This window comes from Homo sapiens, chromosome 18, assembly GCF_000001405.40.
Source record: "Homo sapiens chromosome 18, GRCh38.p14 Primary Assembly".
Taxonomy (NCBI): Eukaryota; Metazoa; Chordata; class Mammalia; order Primates; family Hominidae; genus Homo; species Homo sapiens.
In genome coordinates this window covers 7,971,153-7,995,102 of record NC_000018.10, presented here as the reverse complement: position 1 = coordinate 7,995,102, position 23,950 = coordinate 7,971,153, and the positions used below count along the sequence as shown (strand labels likewise).

At 37.4% G+C, this 23,950-nt stretch overlaps 1 protein-coding gene across 36 annotated transcripts in view; it reads right to left on the bottom strand.

The window, feature by feature from the left end:
* PTPRM (protein tyrosine phosphatase receptor type M) overlaps window positions 1–23,950 on the bottom strand; it is an 839,541-nt gene that overhangs the window by 411,754 nt on the left and 403,837 nt on the right. The gene's annotated exons all lie outside the window — the stretch shown is intronic.

Genomic DNA, 23,950 nt, shown 5'->3' with positions numbered 1-23,950 from the left:
TTTGGGTCTTTTCTGTTTTTCTCTTGGTCTAGCTAAAGGTTTATCTATTTTATCTTTTCAGAAAACCAAAGTTTTCATTTTGTTAATCTCTTTTAGTCTCTATTTTTGTCTCCATTTCATTTAGTTCTGCTCTGATATTTATTATTTCTTCCCTTCTACTAATTTTTTATTTGGTTTGTTCTTGCTTTTCTTGGTTTCTTGAGGTACATCATTAGATTATTTGAAATCTTTCTACTTTTTGATGTAGGTATTTATTACTATAAACTTCCCTCTTAGAACTGCTTTTGTGAAATCCTATAGGTTTTGGTATGTTGTCTTTCCATTTTCATTTGTTTCCATTTTTTTATTTCCTTCTTCACTTCTTCATTAACTCAATTATCATTCAGGAGCATATTATTTAACTTCCATATTTTTTCCAGGTTCCAACATTTCTCTTGCTACTGATTTGTAGTTTATTCCATTGTGTTCTGATAAAATACTTGAAGTGATTTTGACTTTTTTATATTTATGGAAGTATGTTTTGTTGCCTAACATATAGTGTAACCTGGAGAAAATTCCACGTGCTGACGAGAAGAAGGTGTATTCTGCAGTTGTCGGATGAAAGGTTCTGTAACGTCTGCTAGGTCCATGTGGTCTGTAGGGTAGTTTAAGTCCAATATTTCTTTGTTGATTTTCTATCTAGGTTATCTATCTAATGCTGCAAGCAAGTTTGGTGTTGAAGTCCCCATCTGTTATTGTAACGGAGTCTATCTCTTCCATTAGCGCTAATGATATTTGCTTTATATATCTTGTGCACCAGTGTTAGGTGTGTGTGTGTGTGTGTGTGTGTGTGTGTGTTATTTATATCCTCTTGCTGAATTGATCCCTTTATAATTATGTACTGATCTTGTCTCTTTTTATGTTTTTTGACTTAAAGTTCTAGTTTGTCTAAGTATAGTAACTACTGAAGACTTTTGGTTTCTTTTTGCATAAATTATTTTTTCCCATCTCTTCACTTTCAATCTATATGTCTTTATAGGTGAGGTCAGTTTCTTGTGGGCAGAATATGGTTGGGTCTTGCTATATTATATATTTTTATCCATTCAGTGAGTCCATATCTTTTAACTGGGAGATTTAAACTGTTTATATGCAAGGTTATTAATAGGTGAGAACTTATTCCTGTCATTTTCTTCATTGTTTTTTGTTTGTTTTGTAAATCCTTTATTCATTTCTTCCTCTCTGATGTTTATCTTTGAGATTTGGTAGCTTTCTGTAGTAATAACATTTCATTCCTTTCGGTTTCTCATATACGTATCTGCTCTTTCAATAAGTTATATATTTTAGTGTGTTTTCACGGTGATGGAGAACATCCTTTCACTTCCAGATGTAGGTCTTTCTTAAGCATTTCTCATATAGTCAGTCTAGTGGTGACAAATCCCATCAGTTTTTGTTTGTCTAGGAAACACTTTATATCTCCTTACGTTCTGAAGGACACATTTGGTGAATATAGTATTCTTCACCAGGAGTCTTTTTCTTGCTTTCAGTACTTTGAATATATCACTCGATTTTCTCCTGACCTATATGGTTTCAGCTGAGAAATCTGCTGTTAATCTGATGGGAATTCTCTTACATGTGACTTGATGCTTTTCTCTTTCTATTGTTTAGAATTCTCTCTTTAACTTTTGACAGTTTAACTATAATGTGCCTCAAAGAGGAGACTTATGTGTTAAGTATATTCAGAAGTCTTTAAGCCTCCTATATTTGGATGTCTATATCTCTTTTAAGATTTAAGAAATTTTTATTATTTCAGGTTTAATAGGTTTTTCAATGCTTTTTTCTATCTCTTCTCCTCTGGCATTCACAATAGTTGAATGCTTGTTCACTTGATGGTGACCAATATGCCATTTAGGCTTTCTTTTTAAAATTATTTTTTTCATTCATTTATGTCTGACTGGGTTATTTCAAAAGACCTATCTTTAACTTTAGTCATTCTTTCTTCTGCTTGACCTAATCCACTGCTGAAGGTGTCAACTGTATTGTTATTTCATTCATTAAATTTTTCAGTGCCAGGAATCCTTTTTTACGATATGTCATTAATGTTTTTTTAATTGTGTGGTGGTAGGATGGTAACAGATGCTCATTATAACTTTGTTTGTAAATATGTATTCTTTGATTTAACCCACCAATACTACTACTACTACTGCCATCATTCACTGATTCACCAAAAATTGAATAAATAATTGTCTTACTTGTTTTTATTAATCTTTCTTACATTTACACATAGCTCACATTTGTTTCAATATTTAACATTAGAAGGTTTTTGGGTCTTTATTTTGAAGGTTGGTGATGTTTTCTTGACCAGAAATATCACATAGTAACTTAACTCATTTATATTAATTAGCCTATGGTAAAATTGGTTTTGATATACAATGTTTTTCTTAAAGTCATAGTTTCCCAGAACCTATCAATGACAATAAGTTAGGACTTCCTGTACCGTACTACCAGTTTTCTGTGTGTTAACGTTTTGTTTCTCAAATAAACTACAAATTCATGCACAACTCTTTGTTGCCCCTGGTCCCTGGATCTACTGTCTACCTACCTGTGTGTGTTTACTGATGATGATGACAAGAAAGCTATTTAGAGGTATCAGCAAATGTGAAGTTTGGCTTCTCACTTCTGCCATTTAAGTGTACAAAGGAAGTACTTCTGAACCTCAAAGAAGCACTGAGTGAAACAACAATGCTTTGACACTTAATCTCATCAATTTCTGTGGATAAATCTTCTCTAATGAAGCAATTACTTGATTGTAGTAAGATTTTCCATTGCCTCCATGCTCAAAGAAGTGAATGATATAGGCAGATAGTTCAAAAAAAAATTACACTTTTGTAGTCAAAATATCTTGTTAAACAGGATCATACCCAGAACCCCAAAAGATAAAACAGTTTTTAGTGCAGGTGCTCTGGTGGAAGCAGGAATGAGGTTATAATAACTCCCTCTCCTACCCACTCAGGGCACGGTACTGAGGAAAATACACATCAGTTTTACACAAAGTAGCTCTTGTTCCTTAATGGAGTCACAGATTCTTTTTCTTTTTGACTAACTTTCTTTACCTTATCATGTATCTTTTTCTGGAGGCTGGTCGATGGTTTAAAAAGCTTTTCCTATGCCCAAGAAACATCATATTGGATAAATACCTCTAGATACTTTGTTAATCTCCTGAGAATCTGAAACATCATCCATGTATCTCATGATGGGTTCTTTCCTATGGTTTTCCTATTAAGTTTTCGGCTTCCTACTCACATCCCATAACTTATGGGCCTTTATAACATTCACTGCTCATTTTTTTCTGGGAATCAGAAACCATGTGGACAATCAACAAAATCCTTTGTGTCAGTTACTAATGAGAAAAAGCTCTCCTGGGTCAGGCAGCTAAGATTTTATTAGTTTAAAACTAAACCAAATCTAAGATGCTCACAAAGTTGCTAGATTGGGTTGCTACTGAAAATATAAATCTGCTTGGTGCAGCTGGTTCCTTTCATTCAGGAAAATTATTTGCTGCAAGAATGTTAATGAAATTAGACCCTGCGATTCTATTATGTGCTACTGCCTTGCAAACCAATATTTCCGTTTTACTTTACTACTTCTGAAGATTGCCTTAGATTTGCCTCTGTTCTTTGTCACCTCATCTCCCTCCATTCCTCCCTTCTTTTAGCTTTCCTTCTCTCTCTCCTTTCTTTTCTTTATAGTCATAAGCCATTTTCTAGTCACAAATAATAATAGTTCCATTGACATTACTGGTAAGGTCACTACAATCCTCAGGTGGTTAAAGGCATGGTGTCCCTTAAATAAAACAACCATGACATCCCCTATTTTGCATTATTTCTCACTTTAGCACAGTTATCAACATAAATCATGTTTAACAGTGAGTGAGGTGTAAAGTGTTTGTAAAGAGAATTTTTTTGAAGTTTCCCTAATGCTCTCATGAAATCCTTCTTAAGGTCATGGAAGATGCAGAAAAGCAAATTAAGAACCTCATTCATGGTTTCTTCATTCTCAAGAATATATTGCTATTAACTGTAAGAATACAAATTCACTGATTCCACTGAATTACACTCAATTATACTGGGTCAGTAAGCTTAAAGCAAACCAGAAGCTTAATCTGAATCATTTTCACAAGACCTCCATTAGCTATAGCAATCATTCATGTAAGAAACCATTACTACACCCTGTCACCTACAAAACCTGGCACACTGAGACAAGCTTCCTGCAATCCACCCATCCCCCGTCCCCCAGGCCCCACCATCATGTATACACAGAGAACTGGGCTGACATTAACACAGAGTCTATCCTTGAAGAAAAAAACAACTTTTAAAAAGGCAGCATGAATGGAGAAGGCACTTCTCTGTCTCAGTGATCAGTGTAGACTGTCTACATGTATACCTCCTCTGTTTAAGCCTGAAGGACAGAAGGCTAAGAGCTTCATCTCCATGAATCAATGCCAATCAGCATTGCCATCCTTTTGGGAAGAACTCCTGAATCATAAAAATAACCCATTTGAGGCTTTTAACCCTAAAAGATTTTGGCTGAATATTGAATAATTTTTATATTCATATTTTTAATATTTGTAAGTAGTTATCACTCAAAAATACTATCATTGAAACCATTTAGTACACAGCAATCTATTTATGACATTATCCAAAGTAAGTCAACATAGTCTCTTCTTATTAAGAGAATATAACCTAAAATAAACTAGCTACAGTGAAGGAACAGGAGAATCAAACCACAGAACACACTTAGCGCACACACACAAACACACACGATTCTTCACACTGCAAAAATACAAAGACATTGGTGCATTTTGCATGACAGTTAGTGTTAGGATAGATGGAAAGAGTAAATGTTCAGAAAATATCAGGAGTGGTCAGGGTGCAGTGGCTCATGCCTGTAATCCCAGCACTTTGGGAGGCTGAGGCCAGTGAATCACACGAGGCCAGGAGTTCAAGACCAGCATGGCCAACATGGTGAAACTCTATCTCAACTAAAAATACAAAAATTAGCCAGGCGTGGTGGTGCATGCCTGTAATCCCAGCTACTTGGAAGGCTGAGGCATGAGACTCACTTGAACCCGGGAGGCGGAGGTTACAGTGAGCCGAAATCGTGCCATTGCACTCCAGCTTGGGCAACAGAGCAAGACTGTCTCAAAAGAATAAAAAGAAGAAGAAGGAAGAAAATGTCAGGCAAAAACATCATCCTGAGAAAAGAGAAAGCTTTGAAGAGCTTCACAAAAGAAGCGAGCAAAGGTGAGGCCCGTGAGAGGTGAAGTGAGGAGTATGAGAGCAGATGGTGGCCAGTGAATAATATAGGAATGGTTTTCCTATTCTGGAAACTTATAGAAAGTGTGAGGAAGTAAATCAATTCAACATTAAAAATGTTAACCAGAAGTTTTAAGAAAAATGTTAACCAAGAAGAATTGGCTATGCTAGAAAAACTGAAGTCAACAAGGGGACAGGAGGTTATCTAGCAGGATGAAGTGAATAAATCCCATATGCATAGTGGGTGGACAGGAATCCTGCAGCTTCTTGTTTGGAAGTAAGAACATACAGAAGTGCTTCTTATTATAAGTAAGAACATACAGAAGTGCTTCTTATTATGCTTACACGTCCTGCTCAAGGAGGCATGGCTAAATCTTAATTAGTGTTAAGAAATAAACATTAACATGCACTGTAAATAAAGCACTATGTTAAGATGAACCAAGATGGTGGTTTGGGGCTAATAATAGCAATATGGAAGCAAGGTGAGCATAAATTTCAGTGGAACCTGCAAGCCTCTGATATACTGCCCATGGTTTGGTACAGTAATGCCAGTTACTAGAAGTCATTTAGTTTTTCCTGTTACTTTGCCTGTAACTAGGAAATTAAAAAAAAAAAATTAGCCACACCCATCAACATTGCTGCTCTCTCAGGTTTGTGTCAGTGGTAATTAGGATAAATGTAATAGCCACAAAAACAAATATAGAGTGAATTTACAACTTACCTATGACCAACAAGTATTAATTGAATATGTATTAATAATAATAAGCAATATGTACTTAAATAAAGGTACTATATTCTCTAACCTTAGCAATAGTTATTTGCTCTATAGATGATTTTCCCCATTCTTATGTTGAACTTGATCTCCAATCTGACATTTTCTGGGGCCTAAATCTAACTTGTATCAAAAGCCCTTAGAAATCAAACAGATATTGTACATTAATGTTCATAGTAGCATTATTCAAAATAATCAAAAGGTAGAAGCAACCAAAATGCCCATCAACAGGTGAAAGAATAAACAAAATGTGGTATATCCATCCAATGGAATATGACTCAGCCACTAAAAGTAAGGAAATTTTAATATATGCTACCAACATGAATAGATCTTGAAAATATCATGCTTGTTGAAATAAGTCAGACACGTGGAAAACCATGGTATGATTCCACTTTTATGAGATACCCAGAATATGCATATTCACAGAGAAAGAAAATAGAATAAAAGTTGTCTGGGACTAGGTGGAGGGGAGGAGTGGAGGTTGTCGTTTTAAGTACAGGGCTTTAGTAAGGGATGATACCAATGTTTTGGATATAGATCGTGGTGACAGTTACACAATATTATGAATGCATTTAATGGCACTGAATTGTACATTTACAATGGTTAAACTGATAAATATTTTTATGTATACTTTATTACAATAAAAAATAAAAAATTTTAAAGCCCTTTTCATTTATTTTAATCAAAATTAGAAAGGGCCTAATTTTAAAACCATAAACTAATGAAAGGATTATGTTAATTTTACCAAAAACTTCAGATCATTGAAAGTATCTCTAAATCATTTGCATTTTCTTTTTTGTTTGTTTGGTTTTTTTTTGAGATAAGGTCTAGCTCAGAATTTGAAATGAACATGATAACAGATCCCCTAGGTCTGTCACCCAAGCTGGAGTGCAGTAGCATGATCACAGCTCACTGCAGCCTCAACCTCCCAGACTCAAGCGATCCTCCTGCCTTAGCATCCTGAGTAACTGGGAGGACAGGCACATGCCACTAAGCCTGGTTAATTTTTTTTTTTTTTTTTTTTTTGTAGACACAGGGTCTCACTATGTTGTCCAGGCTGGTCCTGAACTCCTGGACTCAAGTGATCCCCTGCCTCCCCTCTCAAAGTGCTGGGATTACAGGCATGAGCCACTGTGCCTGCTATCATTTACATTTTCAAATACATATTTGTTTGTGAAGATATCAAGAAAGAATGAAAAGTTTCTGTTTACTTAAAATTTCAAAATAAATCCATGAGGACTGTGAACAAAAGTGAATCATAATGCTGACTCTGAAAAAATGGTTTTAATCTTTAGTAGGTTTTTAAAATTAGATGTGATTTAATGGATATTAAATCTACTTACTTTTTATGAGTTTTCTAAACCAGATAAAATAGAAATGAAAGCACCTCCCAGGTTAATTTCACCATCAGCCCCAGCTGTGCCCTGGAGAGTCTAGGGGTCCCCATTCCCCATCCTTTATCCCTGTGAGAATAACAGAGATCGGTTTGCTGTAGGTTTGTCTCCACTCACCGCAGATCATGGACCTAGTGGAATGACAGGGAGCCTGCCAAGAAACATTCATGACTAATCTTCCCCCAGTCACTGATTCTCATGTCTGTTATACGTTAAGTATTCTGAAGCAAGAGCTTATGTTATTAATAATTTAAAAACAATTATAGATAATAAATGTTTCTCCACTTGCTCCCTTACTGGTGGCTTAGCCAGCTTCAACCCACTAACATCATCATAACCAAGTCAACTTTCCTCTGACTGTAAGAATAATTCTTCTAAAACAATATTTAAACACAACTGACCAAGGGTTTACATAAACTTTTACACTTGTTTCTCAAGAGATCTACTGTGGGCAGTAGAGAATTAAAGACAGATTTTTGGAGGACAGTTACAGCTCAAAAGCGCTGTGTCTAACTGACAGTCCCCATGTTGGGGTTACCAGCTGAATAAATTTTCCAGGGCTGCCATAAACAAGTACCTTAGACTGAGTGGCTTAAACAATAAGCACATTTTCTACAGTTATGGAGGCTGGAAGCTCAAGATCAAGACATTGGCAGGGTTACTTTCTACTGGGATCTGTCTCCTTGGCTTGCTGATGTGTTCTCCCTGTGTCCTCCCATGGTCTTCTCTCTGTACAATGCCTGTATCCTAATCTCCTCTTCTTACAAAGACACCATTCATAATGGATTATCACATTTTAAGTTAATTATCCTCTTAAAGACCCTATCCAAATATAGTCACAATCTATAATACTGGGGTTAGGACTTCAGCACATGAATCAGTGAGGAACACAAATTCAGTCCAAAACACCAACTCAGACCTCCATTATAAATGAGTGTCTATAAAGATATTTTCCAATTTTTAAAACATTTGCTAAATTTAGGCCATTTTAGTTCACAATTTTGCCCTGCACTTGCATATGGATGTTGAGTTACTCTAGCACCAGGTGCTATGGCTGAACCTCTCACAGACCATGACACCTTCATTCACCGGCCTTGGCTGGGGATGTGCATGTACTGTTCTCCATGTCAGGGCACAGGCTTCCAATCCTCACCAAAACAATGCTAGCTCATTCTGGCACCAAAAGGCAATGGGAAACACTGCCCAGGCAACAGCTGGCAATCACAGATTTGAATAAGTTCTACTGTGTTTCTCTGTATTGCTCTAAGAACGGACCAGAACCATACAGTACAAAATATTCCTAAGTGACCAGGTACATAAAAGTAAGGAATCTGCTTTTCTCTTTCCTGAGAAAATGAAACACATTTCAAAACCCTGTAAAAGGCTTTAATTTCTTGTATGCGTTAGTCTGAGCTAAGCTGCTTTAAATCCTGTTACGCACTACTGAGGACTTGAACTATAGGGGATCTGTTATCACATTCATTTCAAATTCTGATAACCTCTCCAGAATTTTTCTAAAATGTTTTTAGTCCATCTATTTGAGCATTGGGCCTTAGACAGCTCTCCTTTTATCTTCAAACTTCAAAGCATAATTTTGAGACAAAGGTTTACTTTTCTGAGGAATTCTGAAAGTTTTACACTGTCAGGGACAGTCAGTTGGAGTTTTTTGAAATGTATCCCGACTCTGAAATAACTCATTTGCATTAGGGTTTGTGTACATTCAAACTCTACAACTATTCTAGAGTCCACCTATCCCCTGGACACTACTTAAAGTTTACTCTTTAAATACTAATCATGAAAGAATGAATAAGACCTACTATTTCATAGCACAACAGGGTGACTATCATCAATAATAACTGAATTGTACATTTTAAAATGGATAAATGCTTGAGGGGATGGAAACTCCATTCTCCGAGATGTGGTTATTCTGCATTGCATGCCTGTATCAAAACATCTCATTTACCCCATATATACATATACATATATATATATTTACCCCATATATGTATATATTTATATACGTATCTACCAGTATATGTATATATTTATATACGTATCTACCAGTATATGTATATATTTATATACGTATCTACCAGTATATGTATATATTTATATACGTATCTACCAGTATATGTATATATTTATATACGTATCTACCAGTATATGTATATATTTACGTATCTACCAGTATATGTATATATTTATATACGTATCTACCAGTATATGTATATATTTATATACGTATATACCAGTATATGTATATATTTATATACGTATATACCAGTATATGTATATATTTATGTGTATATACAATTATATGTATATATTTATGTGTATATACTATTATATGTATATATTTATGTGTATATACTATTATATGTATATATTTATATGTGTATATACAATTATATGTATATATTTATATGTGTATATACAATTATATGTATATATTTATATGTGTATATACAATTATATGTATATATTTATATGTGTATATACAATTATATGTATATATTTATATGTGTATATACAATTATATGTATATATAATTATATGTATATATTTATATATGTATATACAATTATATGTATATATAATTATATGTATATATTTATATATGTATATATAATTATATGTATATACAATTATATGTATATAATTATATGTATATATAATTATATGTATATAATTATATATGTATATATATGTATATATTTATATATGTATATATAATTATATGTATATATTTATATATGTATATATAATTATATGTATATATTTATATATGTGTATATAATTTTATATGTATATATTTATATATGTGTATATAATTTTATATGTATATATTTATATGTGTGTATATAATTTTATGTGTATATATTTATATATGTGTATATAATTTTATATGTATATATTTATATTTACCCCATATATTTATATATTTTTATATATGTATATATATAATTATATATGTGTGTATATATATATTTACCCCACATATACATATATGGGGGTTTGTGTGTGTGTGTGTGTGTGTGTGTGTATATATATATATATATATATATATATATATGGGGCATATATATATGGGGCATATATGTATACTACCCACAAAAATTAAAAATTAAAAAAATTAAAAAATATTAATCACGAAGGTAGATTTTCTAAATATTTAATACAGCTGTACAGATTTTCAATTTTTAGTCCTGTAGCAATGAAGTAGCTACATCATAGCAGAAAGAACCCAGTTGGGAGTCAGGAAACACTTGGGATTGTATTGAGCTTTGTGTGACCTCTGAATACCATTTAACCTCTTTGAACCCAAGCTTCCTGACTTGGAAAATGAGGATACTGTTATCTCTCTTGCAATCATTACGAGGATTAGGTAAGAAAACGGATGTGGTGGTACCTTATAAACTCTAATGCCCTCAAGAAGGTGGTTGCATTTTTCTTGACTCTTTGGTGACTATGGTGGCTGATCAGCAGTCATCACTGCCCTTGCTTTGTTAGAAACACCAGGTGCTTCATAGCATGAGGCTGCTTCCTATCTTGACCTTATTTGGAGACTATTATGTAAAGAATACTAAAACACATTGTTTTCCAGAACACACCATATTCTAACAAGTTACAGTTTCATTCATCAAGTGAACAGTATTTCAAGGCAAATTGATCAGCTACCGACCTTGATAACATCAATTTAGCATTATGGATGAAAATCTCAAATGTCTCTGGCTCTTTAGCATTAAATATTGAGTGGAAGTGGGGTTTTTATTGACAGCTTTGTTACTTTATTTTACTATGGCACGTTTTTATGTGACAGTAAAGCAGCTAAAGCAGCTAAACACACATTAAATAAGTGCTGAGATAACTTGATAATGACCTTTCACAGATTATTTTCTCAACGAAGGTTAGTGGCAAAGAAGACAGGCAAATATGTTGCAAGTAGAAAGTAGGACTGCTCCTAGTTCTGATTGAGACAGAACTAGGAGCAGTTACTTAAATGTTTAAAATCTTTCCTGGGCTTCTACAGTGTGCCAGGCAATAGCGCACAAGAGAAAAAAAGGTAAGATTTAGGTCTTACACAGAATGATGAGAAAGCCAGAGACAAAAAGCATAGTTCTAGCCTATGAGACAAATGCCTATATTGAAAGTGCCATGGCAGGACAGGGGCAGGGCAAAGACTCTGTCTGGTGAGTAAAACAGGCATTCCTGTTCCTTTATACCAACAGGCCCCAAACTTTTTGGCACCAGGGACCAGTGTTGTAGAAGACAATTTTCCCACTAACCAGGTTGGGGGGATAGCTTCGGGATGAAACTGTTCCCCCTCAGATCATCAGGCACTAGATTCTCCTAAGGAGCTTGCAACTTAGATCCCTCGCATGCACAGTTCATAATAGGGTTTGCACTCCCACGAAAATCTAATGGCCGCTGCTGATCTGACAGGAGGTGGAACTCAGGTGGTGATGCTCGCCCGCCTCTGGCTCACTTCCTGCTGTGCAGCCAGGTGTACCTGGTTGGCAGTCAGGGGGTTGGGGACCCCTACTTTATATGAAAGTACATGTGTTTGACAAGCAGAAAAGAGGAGGAAAAGGCATTTCTGAGAAAGTGAACAGCACTAAAAAGACATGGAAATAGGGAAGAGAATGCCAGAATCGTGGCGAATGCAGATAGTGCCAAATAGGAGCTATCAGGAGGGCCTGGTCAGGGCCCTGAGTCATGAATGTGAGGCCTCACAATCCTTGTAGAAGCTTCCTGACTTTCAATAAACCTCAGAGAAAGATACACCATCACACGCCACATAACAACATTTCCATCAACAACGAACCACATATATCACTGTCATCCCATAGGAGTATGCTGGAGCTGAAAACTTCCAGCCGCCTAGTGACATCCTAGCTGTCCTAACGTCATAGCACAACACACTACTGAGGTGTTTGTGGTGATGGTGCTGTAAAGAAATCTACTGCACTGCCAGTCATATAAAAGTCAAGCACATACAATCATGTACAGTACCTAATACTTGCTAATGATAATAGACAACTATGTTACTGGTTTATGGTTTTACTATAATATACTTTTTTAATACTTATTTTACAGCATTCTACTTATACTAAAAAAAAAAAAAGTTAACTGTGAAGCAGCCTCAGGCAGGACCTTCAGGAGGTAGACAGCAGAAGGCCTTGTTATTCTGGGAGATGACAGCTCCATGAGTGTTACTGCCCCCTGAAGACCTTCCAGTGGGAGAGGATGTGGAGGTGGGGCCAGTGCTATCAGTGATCCTGACCCAGAGTAGGCCTAGGCTAATGTGTGTTTGTGTTTTAGGTATCAAAAAAGTTTTAAAAGTAAAAAAAAAAAAAAAAAGTAAAAACTTAAAAACAGAAAACAGCTTATAGAATAAGAATATAAAAAAGAAAATATTTTGTACAGTTGTACAATGTGTTTGTATTTTAAGCTAAGTGTTATTACAAAAGAGCCAAACAATGAAAAATGCATTGAAACGTTTCTAAGGTACAAAAGTTTAAGGAAGCTAGGGTTAATTTATTATTAAAGACACAAATTTAAAAAAATAAATTTAATGTAACCTAAGTGTACAGTGTTTGTAAAGTCTACAGTGGTGTACAGTAATGTCCTAGGCCTTCATATTCACTCACCACTAGGTCCCTGACACCCAGAGCAACTTCTAGTCCTGCAAGCTCCATTCATGGTGGATGTCCTGTACAGGTGTGCCATTTTTATCTTCAATATCATATTTTTACTGTACCTTTTCTACGTTTCAATGTTTAGCTACACAAATACCATTGTGTTCCAAGAGTCTACAGCATTCAATACAGTAACATGCTCTACAATTTTGCAGCCTAGGAGCCTTGGCTATACCATATAGCCTGGGTGTGTAGCTGGCCTTGCTACCTCTGATTGGGTAAGTACACTCTATGATGTTCACAGAATGACCAAATCACCTAAAGATGCATTTCTCAGAATACAGCCCCATTGCTTAAGGATGCATGACTGCATATACTTCATACTCATATATATTTCAGTACTTTGTCCTGTCACATCACAGTCATTCCTCCGGGGCAAGTATGGGAGCCAGAGAACTTCAGTTGGAAGATCAGGTGGGAAAAGTATAGGGGTTGGGGTGGAGGGGAGACTGCCTCACACTTTAATTGATGTAAGTGGCTCCATGGAGGAAAAGATAATGATCATTCATTGTTGATTAGGCACTACTAATGCAGACTGAATCACATGGACTCAGTCTCCAAAATATCTGTTGAAAGCCCACACTAGGCTAGGTGCTGTGTGTGCATTCATAGACAGGCAGATATGGTTCCTGAAGATTTCAGGCTTCCAGTGTAGCAGGGATATTAGATGTTTAAAAAATAATAAGGGAATGCACGACTCCATTGTCCAGAGATTGCTTAGGGAAAGCCTCCCTGAGGAGGGGATATTTAAGTAGAGAGTGAAGGTGGGGTTGGTGGGCGGGGGGCAGAGAGGTAGGAGTAGTAGAAAACCAGCGGGAGAGGAGGTGTGATTCTACCTTCATGGTGCTTCATAAGCAGGAAGAGCACCTTGATCTCAAGAAAATGAAAGTGCTAAGGCTGAAGCTAAGAAAGCAGTGGGGAAAAACAAGGGGAACTGATGGAGAGGGGGCCAAAGCCAGATGATAGGGGAATGTGCGCCAACCACTCATTTCCATTCCCAGAGTGCCTTCGATGGCTCAACTCAGGCACAGTAAGCAAGCCAGACAAAAGCCCTGCCAGGCCAGCTCATGCTCCAGTGGAGGGAGACAGATCAACACATGAAATCTCAGCATGTAGCATGCCTGGCTGTGAGAAGAATTATGGAGAAACGGGAAGCAGGCAACGGGGAGGAGGATAGGGGAGCTGTGTGTTAAGGAGTCTCTCACTGTCCATTTTTGCTTAGAAATGGTAGGACTGAATGTGCATTTATAAAAGACCTCTGATGGCTGGACACAGTGGCTCAAACCTGTGATCCCAGTGCTTTCAGAGGCCGAGGTGGGAGGACTGTTTGAGCCCAGGAGTTCAAGACCAGCCTGGGCAACATAGTGAGGCCCAGTCCCTACAAAAATTTTAAAAATTAGCCAGGCGTGGTGGCATGTGCCTGTAGTCCTAGCTACCTGGGAGGCTGAGGCGGGAGGATCACTTGAGCCCAGGAGGTTGAGGCGCAGTGAGCTGTGATCACCACTGCACTCCAGCCTGGGTGACAGAGCAAGACCCTGTCTCTAAAAATACTAAAAATAAAAAAAAAGATATCTGGCTGTAGGGTAGAGCAACTCTAGGGGGCAGCAGAGTGAACATGGGTGCAATAAGGAGCCATAGTAGTGGCTGAGGCTAGGCAAGCAGCATTGCAGAGAAACCTCCGAAACACCAAGACACCTAGGAAAGAGAGTACATGAGATTTATGATTGATGTGGTGCAGAGGTGAGGTAGTAGAAAGACTCAAGGGCAATTCAGGTTTCTGGCCAAAATGAGTGGGCAGCTTGAAGTACTGATTCAGGTAAGAGACACTGGTAGAAAAAAATATTTTGTGGGGCTGCGAAGACAGGCACGGCCAAGGGGGAGGAGTAAGACGCTCAGGGGCATTATAGAGCAGAGGAGTTGGAGATATCCAGGGAATCCATGTGGGGTGTCCAGGAGCCAGCATGCCCAGAGGCAGGAGCGAGAGCTGGGCTGAAGACACAGCCCTGGAGATGTGGGCATCTGGGAGGGATCAACCCAGGGCGGGACAAGGTGGCCCCTCACCCTCAGTCCTTTTCAGGCAGAAAGAGGAAGTGTGTCCCAAGTCACTTCACTGGAAATGCCAGTGCAGCCTGTTCCCCAGCCTCCAAGCACCATCCCAGCCTTCTCCTGTGTCCGCTCCACACTTCTGCCAGCGGACTGCAAGGTGACGAGGGAACACTTAGCACAACACAAAATGCCAGTGCCTGGGCTTTTCCAGTCTCATTTTTCGACTTTGTATTTCATTTCTTCTATTATATTAAAAACGATGTCGTTTCCTGAGAATAAACTCCTGGAAAAAAATATGTAATGCAAATACATATTATGAGCTCTGCACGATCTTTGGGAAAAGAAGGTTTAATTTCAACGAGTATTTTTCATTTGGACTAATAAATATGTCATGTAACACGTTAACCATTTGTCTCAAATAAAACACCTTAGATTCATAATCTGCCCAAAAGAGATGTTTAGCTTAGATCTGCGTTTCAAAAAATGTTTCCAAAGGTATCCAACCAATGAACCTATCGGTAAGAATTACAAATTGCCAACTATTGTAATTTCTGCCTCCCAAATCCCAAATAGTTTTATGTACATAGAAACCCATATTGTTGATGTCTTTGGAAGTCAATCTTAGAAACTCCAGGATTCTATCCTAGAAGGGAATGCTTCTGTGTTTTTTATATACTTAGACAGGGTCAGACAAAGGTGGCCAGAACAAAGGACTCTACAGTGGCGGGTCAGTGATTTCCTCAGTTGGCTGGACATAGATCATCTGCAGAAATCATCTCTCTGCCCTCCCTTTTGTTTTCAGACACTTTGGCAACAGCTATAGCTTCAATATAGCCAGGAATGAAATTAAAGACCCAGCTTATAGATAAGGTCACCCAGGCAACATTCAATTTTCTTTGCCACGGGCCTATGGCTCAGTGAAAATACAGGTGGGGAGCCCAGAGCTAAGTTCTGTCAGCTCCATGGTGAAGCACTGTTTTTTAAAGGTCGCTACACGCAATTCTGAGGGTGGAAAGAAATGTCTGAGTTTTCAAAAAAAAATCATATAACATTATTGGAATTTATATGAAAGAATACTCTGTCACGTGCTCACAGACCCTTCATAATGTTTCATATCCTAACCTTAATATTATGATATAAACCTTTTTAAGAATTAAAGCTGAGACTGATCATTATGTAGTAAGAGCCACGTATAATATTGATAAAGTATAGAATAAGAGTTATGATTTCACAGTACTACAAAGAAATTCTTTATAAAAGAAAAAGTTATATGCCAAGCTAACGTGTCAAACAGAGAAAGTGTTACCAACATTCGCCTCGTAAGTTAGCATGGCAGGCTCACCAAGAGCTTACTTGCAGACAAAATAATTAACGTGACCACTTCACTAAGTCTAGATATCCTTTGGGCCACGAGGCATATTTAATGGTCAAATTGAGTCCATTTAGTGGTCAAATAGAGTCCCGTTTTATAATTTAAAATAAACTGTTTACAGCAACATGCAAACAAAATAGAAAAACAATGGAGATGGTCAGCTGGTTTTCCATTCTAGTTCTTAGTAGAGTTACAGCTAAATGACCCTGGCAGATAAATATCTCTCGGTGTTGAATAACCCTGTCAGCTTATATCTGTATGTTCTATACGACTAGTCACCTCACTTGGTTCATGTCAGTTTTATCTGGCTCTGTCTTGAAGTGAAAGATTCTTACTGTCCAATCCCATCCTTAAATCAACCCTAAGCCAGAGCTATTGGGCAGACTCACAGAGGCTGGCTTTGTAGTGAGGCTAAAAGCAAAGTGCGCTGAGAGGAGCAGGCACCAGTTATCAGAGGGTGTTGGTAACAGTGGCCTTGCCAGGCACTTCTGTAAACAGACGCACTGCAAAACTGCACAAGTCGTTTCCTTACTCCCAGCCTCAGTTTCCCAGTCAACAAGATTTGAGTTAGAGGAAATTATGAAGAAGTCAGTTTTTTTCTTTCAAGTATATTCTGTCCAGAACTGTGAGGAGTCTGAGACTTAATCAAGTTTCAAGCCTACGAGTTTGCCTGCCACTGTTTCATGGATGCTGGCAGAAGACAGGAGACTCCTGGGCCAGAGACATAGAACTGTATTATGAACAACAAAGCAAAGCATGCACAAAGCAACATGAGCTTTGTGTTCTTGTTGTTTCCCCTTGCCCCCAAAGTCTCAAGGGAGAATACAGAGGAATCCAAGTTGATGCTACACATGAAGTCAGTTTGTATCACAGCTAAAGAGCCCTGAGTTAGGAAAACCAAATCTCTTATTATGGGCAGTAAGCAAACCTGCCTACCCTTTGCTCTCAAGAGAGACATTATCTTTCTTATGTTGGACAACTAGAAAGCTCATCCAGTGCTCCAGAGAGAGACACTATCTCTATATTCCAAGGCTGTTCCCTGGACCAGAACAAAGGCCATCGGTGCCTCTGCTTGCAAGGTGTGCACGTGTGAGGGACCTACGGTGAAGTGCATGCCAACATCCTCTAAACAACTCAGGAAGCTGGGTGCGGTCACTCACGCCTGTAATCCCAGCATTTTGGGAGGCCGAGGAAGGCAGATCACCTGAGGTCAGGAGTTTGAGACCAGCCTGGCCAACATGGCAAAACTCCGTCTCTACAAAAATACAAAAATTAGCTGGGCGTGGTGGCAGGTGCCTGTAATACCAGCTACTCAGGAGGCTGAGGCAGGAGAATTACTTGATCCCAGGAGGTGGAGGTTGCAGTGAGCCAAGATCACACCATTGCACTCCAGCCTGGGCAAAAAGGGCGAAACTCTGTCTCAAAACAAAACAAAACAAAAACAATTCAGGTATTATTAATTTATTTCATTATAACTGGAGCTAAGGTGAGATCCATGCTAAATATGAGGAATGGATTTACAATTGATCCCCATAGTTAAATCTTCTAATATCCATGTCACAATCAACCTTTTTTATTGTTAAAATCAAGCTTTAAAAAAAAAAAAAAACAGCAAGTTTCTTTGCAGATCTCAATTCTGACTGATAGTACTTAACAAACGAATACATTTACTCAAGAAAAGAAATAAATCTTACCCAATTTCTCAGTAGTCATTTGACTACAATTATTATATTCAACTCATATCAACCTTTATACTGGCCACTGTCAGTTGCTTACTCCGCATTCATTTTCCTCTCTTCCTTTCCAGTAGTTCCCCAAACCCTTGATTTTGTTCAGTGATTTAGTCTTCCACAGTTCGTGGCTCAGGGATGGCTCATTCCATCCCTAGACTCAAGGGTGAGGCTCTTTTTTTTTCATAAATAAAACTTTATCTTGTAGAATAGTTTTACGTTAACAGCAAAATTGCATGGCACGAAGCATATGAAGATTCCCCACAATCCCCTGCCCTCAAGCCTAGGCGTAGCCTCCCACATTATCAACACATCGTACCAACGAACAATCAGCACCACACAAAGTCCAGAATTGATATCAGGATTCACTCTTGGTGTGGTATATTCTATGGATTTTGGAAACTATATAATGGCATATATCCACTACTATAGTATCATACAGAATAATTTCACTACCTGAAAAAGTCCTCTATGATCTACCTATTTATCCCTGCCTCTCCCAGCTTCTGTCAAACACTGATATTTTTTACTGTATCCATAGTTTGGCCTTTTCCAGAATGTCATATATAGTCATGGGTTGCCTAATGACAGAGAAACGTTCTTTTTTTCATTTTTTATTTTTTATTTTTTTGAGACGGAGTCTCCCTCTGTCTCCCGGCTGGAATGCAATGGCGCGATCTTGGCTCACTGCAATCTCTGCCTCCCAGGTTCAAGATATTTTCCTGCCTCAGCCTCCTGAGTAGCTGGGATTAAAGGCACATGCCACCATGCCTGGCTAATTTTTGTATTTTTAGTAGAGACAGGGTTTCACCATGTTGGTCAGGCTGGTCTTGAACACCTGACCTCGTGATCCACCTGCCTCGGGCTCCCAAAGTGCTGGGATTACAAGTGTGAGCCACTGAGCCCAGCCAACAGAGATACATTCTAAGAAAAACATCTTTAGGTGATTTCATCATTGTGTGAACATCATAGAGTGCTCTTAGACAAATCTAGATGGGATAGCTTACTATACACGGAGAGTATATGTTGTAGTCCACTCCTCCTTGGCCACAGACATATACACCATGTTACTGTACTGAATACTGTAGGCAACTGTAACACAATGAGAGTATTTGTATATTTAAACATAGAAAAGGTAATGCATTAGCTATGAAATTACAGTGGCTACAATGTTACTAGGTGATTTTCAGCTCCGTTATAATCTTAAAGGACTACCATCTTATATGCAGACCTCATAGACTGAAAGACTGTTATGTGGAACCTTACCGTAGTTGAAATTATACAGTATGTAGCATTACCATATTGGCATCTTTCACTTCTTAATATACACTTAAGTTTCCTCTGTGTCTCTTCATGGCTTAATAGCTCATTTCTGAAAAATATTCAATTGTCTCAATGTACCATAGTTTATCCAGTCATCTACTGACCTCTAGGTTGCTTGTAAGTTTTAGAAATTATGAATAAAAAGCTGCTATAAACACTGGTGTGCAAGTTTTTGTGTTGACATAAGTCTGAAGTTCCTTTGGGTGAATGTCAAAGGACACAACTGCTGGATTGTACAGTAAGAGTAGGTTTGCTCTTGCAAGAAACTGCCCACCTGTTTTCCAAACAGGCTGCACCTATTTTTATATTTTCACCAGCAACAAATAAGAGTTCCTGTTGCTCCACATCCTCCCAGCATTTGATGTGTGGCAGTGTTCTGAATTTTGGCCATTCTAATAGGTGTGTGGTGCAAGGATGCATCTTCATCATTGCAAATCAGTGGTTTTCAATATCGGCATCACTGAGGAATTTGTTAAAAATGCAGATTCCTGATCCAACCCTAAACCAACTGAATGATAAACATGGGATAGAAGCCAGTCAGGATCTTTTCACAAGTCCTCCAGGTGATTCTGATATACACTGTCATTACTGAAGTACGTTAAAGTTTAAGAATAAGTGCACTAAGGCAATCAATCCATGAAAATCTGCTAGTTATTATCGGTCCTTAATTGACGTAAAAGATTGAAAGAAAAAAGTTACATTCTATGACTGGGGAACTATTCTTCTCTGCCCGTTAGATGTGAACACAGCATGTTTCCCCAGTTGCTTTTAAATGTCACCTTATCACCACAAAGAGAGCCAGCCTGGGGTTGAGGCCAATAGATCAGAGATTTGGAAAGAGCCCATGTCCCTGGGAAGATTACTGAGTCACTGAACAACAAACTGTAAAGGGTGCCTTACCTATGGATTTCCCATTAATGCGAGTTAATAAATTTCCTCATTGTTAGCCTATAGGGGCATTTATATTACTTGCAGCCCAAAACGTCCGGATTAAAACCATTTATTTGTGATGCTCCTGTCTGACCTAATATTTATGTTGACTTTCAGAACCTCTTCTCTACAACTGCTCTGGGAATCTCTGTAAGCTTTGCTTCATGTAAATGTGTGCACACACTGCACACCAATGGAGAACTTTAGAAACTAGAAAGCTGTGTCCAGGAGGGCAGGAGACTTGTTAGTTTTGCCTACTAACTGTATCCTCAAAGCCTAGGAGAATACCTCTCAGCAGATGCTCAAAAATATTAGACTAAATCAATAAATGAATAAACAAATGGGGCAAACCAAAATGAGCTGTGACTCAGTTGTGCCTACTCGGCTTTCATAGCAGCTGCCTTTTTAGCTGGTTTCCCTGTGGTCACATGCTGCCTGCCACATTCTCAGGCTCCACGTCAAGCAAAATGCAAAGGTGAGAATGGACCATTCTCCTCGCGCATCATTGAAGTGCAAAGGAACTGTCCCCAGAAGGCTCCTCAGCCCTGGAGTCTTCCCCTCAAGTCTTTTTTTTTTTTTACCAGAATCTCACTGACTAAATACTCTAAGTATAAAAATAAGTTCTAAAAAAAATTCAACAAAAATGTAGAAAAATATCTTCTAAAACAAGACTAGAAAGTAAGAAGCCATTAGGAAGAAACAATGGGTCATTTAGCAAACATAATTGCATATGTAGACATCTACCAAGATAAATTAATATATATTTGGACTGATTTATATTCCAATGATACATTTATTGTGTGTATTAATGAGTATGGGTAGCCCTAAAAGATATAATTGATAAATTTAACTACATAAAATGTGAAGATTTCTCTATAATAAACCACAAATAAAGTCAACAGCAAATGGTAGAATAAGAAAAATATTTTGAAAACATATGACAAATGGTAAATAACCCTACTATAGAAAGTATCCCTACAATTTAAAAAGGAAAAGATTAGAAAGCATCCTAAGGACAGAAATGGACAATTTGCTGAGGAAGAAATATACTGAATACATGCATGGAAAAGAGGAAATGCGAATTAAAACAAGAACATATAATTTAAAAACCAATAAATTGATTTTTTAAGTTTTAAAAGATCATTAATATTCAATGCTCGAAAGCATTTGAGGACCCTGACATTGTGACACCTTGCTGGTAGAGCATAACTTGATAGAGCCTTGTAGAAAGTAATCTGACAGCACCTACTAAAGTCTTAAATGCATATATCTTTGGCCCTGCAATTCTACCTTAAAACTGTAAACTTAACTTATAGAAATCGAAATAATTGTATACTATATATATTTATAGATATTTACTGAAATATTCCCTTTATTAATGAACAAAACCTGACTATCCATCAAGAGAGGAGGGGCTAAATAAATTAGGTCATCCATATTACAAAAGAATAAACAGCTGCTAATAAGAGTGGGTTATATATATTATATGTGGGTTATATATGTTTATATAACATGTATTGTACTAGACTCTAACAACTAGAGAGCTGTTCAGAAAATACTGGCAGATGTGAAATCAAGCTGATGAATAACATGTACAATATAATCCTATTTGTTAGAATTAGTAAGGAAGGGACTGAGGACATATATTGATATTTACACACCTAAATGAGCTTACATAGAGATGTTGAAGGATAAACACAAAAGGATTAACGATGATGATTTCTGGCAAAGGGACTGAAAGAGGAGGGAATCTGTTACCTTCTTCATCATATACTTCTATATTTTTTGCCTTCTTATATCACATCTATGACTTCAGTGATTTTCAAAGGCCATTAACAAGATATAAACATTAACAAGTAAAATGTTATTTATCATGAATTCATTACTCAAATTAGGAGCATTATAGCTGAGCTAAAGAATAGCAAAATAGCAATACATAATATTTAGCAGAAATATATTTTAATATGTATATTTTTTCAAATGTTAATGTATTTCTAAAAAGCCCTTTAGAAAGGGTTTCTTTTTTTTTTTTCTATTCCATGTTTCTCTCCTTTTTTTTTTTTTTTAATGTTTTTTTTTTTTTAATTATACTTTAAGTTTTAGGGTACATGTGCACATTGTGCAGGTTAGTTACATATGTATACATGTGCCATGCTGGTGCGCTGCACCCACTAAATCGTCATCTAGCATTAGGTATATCTCCCAATGCTATCCCTCCCCCCTCCCCCTACCCCACCACAGTCCCCAGAGTGTGATATTCCCCTTCCTGTGTCCATGTGATCTCATTGTTCAATTCCCACCTATGCGTGAGAATATGCGGTGTTTGGTTTTTTCTTCTTGCGATAGTTTACTGAGAATGATGGTTTCCAATTTCATCCATGTCCCTACAAAGGACATGAACTCATCATTTTTTATGGCTGCATAGTATTCCATGGTGTATATGTGCCACATTTTCTTAATCCAGTCTATCATTGTTGGACATTTGGGTTGGTTCCAAGTCTTTGCTGTTGTGAATAATGCCGCAATAAACATACGTGTGCATGTGTCTTTATAGCAGCATGATTTATAGTCCTTTGGGTATATACCCAGTAATGGGATGGCTGGGTCAAATGGTATTTCTAGTTCTAGATCCCTGAGGAATCGCCACACTGACTTCCACAATGGTTGAACTAGTTGACAGTCCCACCAACAGTGTAAAAGTGTTCCTATTTCTCCACATCCTCTCCAGCACCTGTTGTTTCCTGACTTTTTAATGATTGCCATTCTAACTGGTGTGAGATGATATCTCATAGTGGTTTTGATTTGCATTTCTCTGATGGCCAGTGATGATGAGCATTTTTTCATGTGTTTTTTGGCTGCATAAATGTCTTCTTTTGAGAAGTGTCTGTTCATGTCCTTCGCCCACTTTTTGATGGGGTTGTTTGTTTTTTTCTTGTAAATTTGTTTGAGTTCATTGTAGATTCTGGATATTAGCCCTTTGTCAGATGAGTAGGTTGCGAAAATTTTCTCCCATGTTGTAGGTTGCCTGTTCACTCTGATGGTAGTTTCTTTTGCTGTGCAGAAGCTCTTTAGTTTAATTAGATCCCATTTGTCAATTTTGGCTTTTGCTGCCATTGCTTTTGGTGTTTTGGACATGAAGTCCTTGCCCACGCCTATGTCCTGAATGGTAATGCCTAGGTTTTCTTCTAGGGTTTTTATGGTTTTAGGTCTAATGTTTAAATCTTTAATCCATCTTGAATTGATTTTTGTATAAGGTGTAAGGAAGGGATCCAGTTTCAGCTTTCTACATATGGCTAGCCAGTTTTCCCAGCACCATTTATTAAATAGGGAATCCTTTCCCCATTGCTTGTTTTTCTCAGGTTTCTCAAAGATCAGATAGTTGTAGGTATGCGG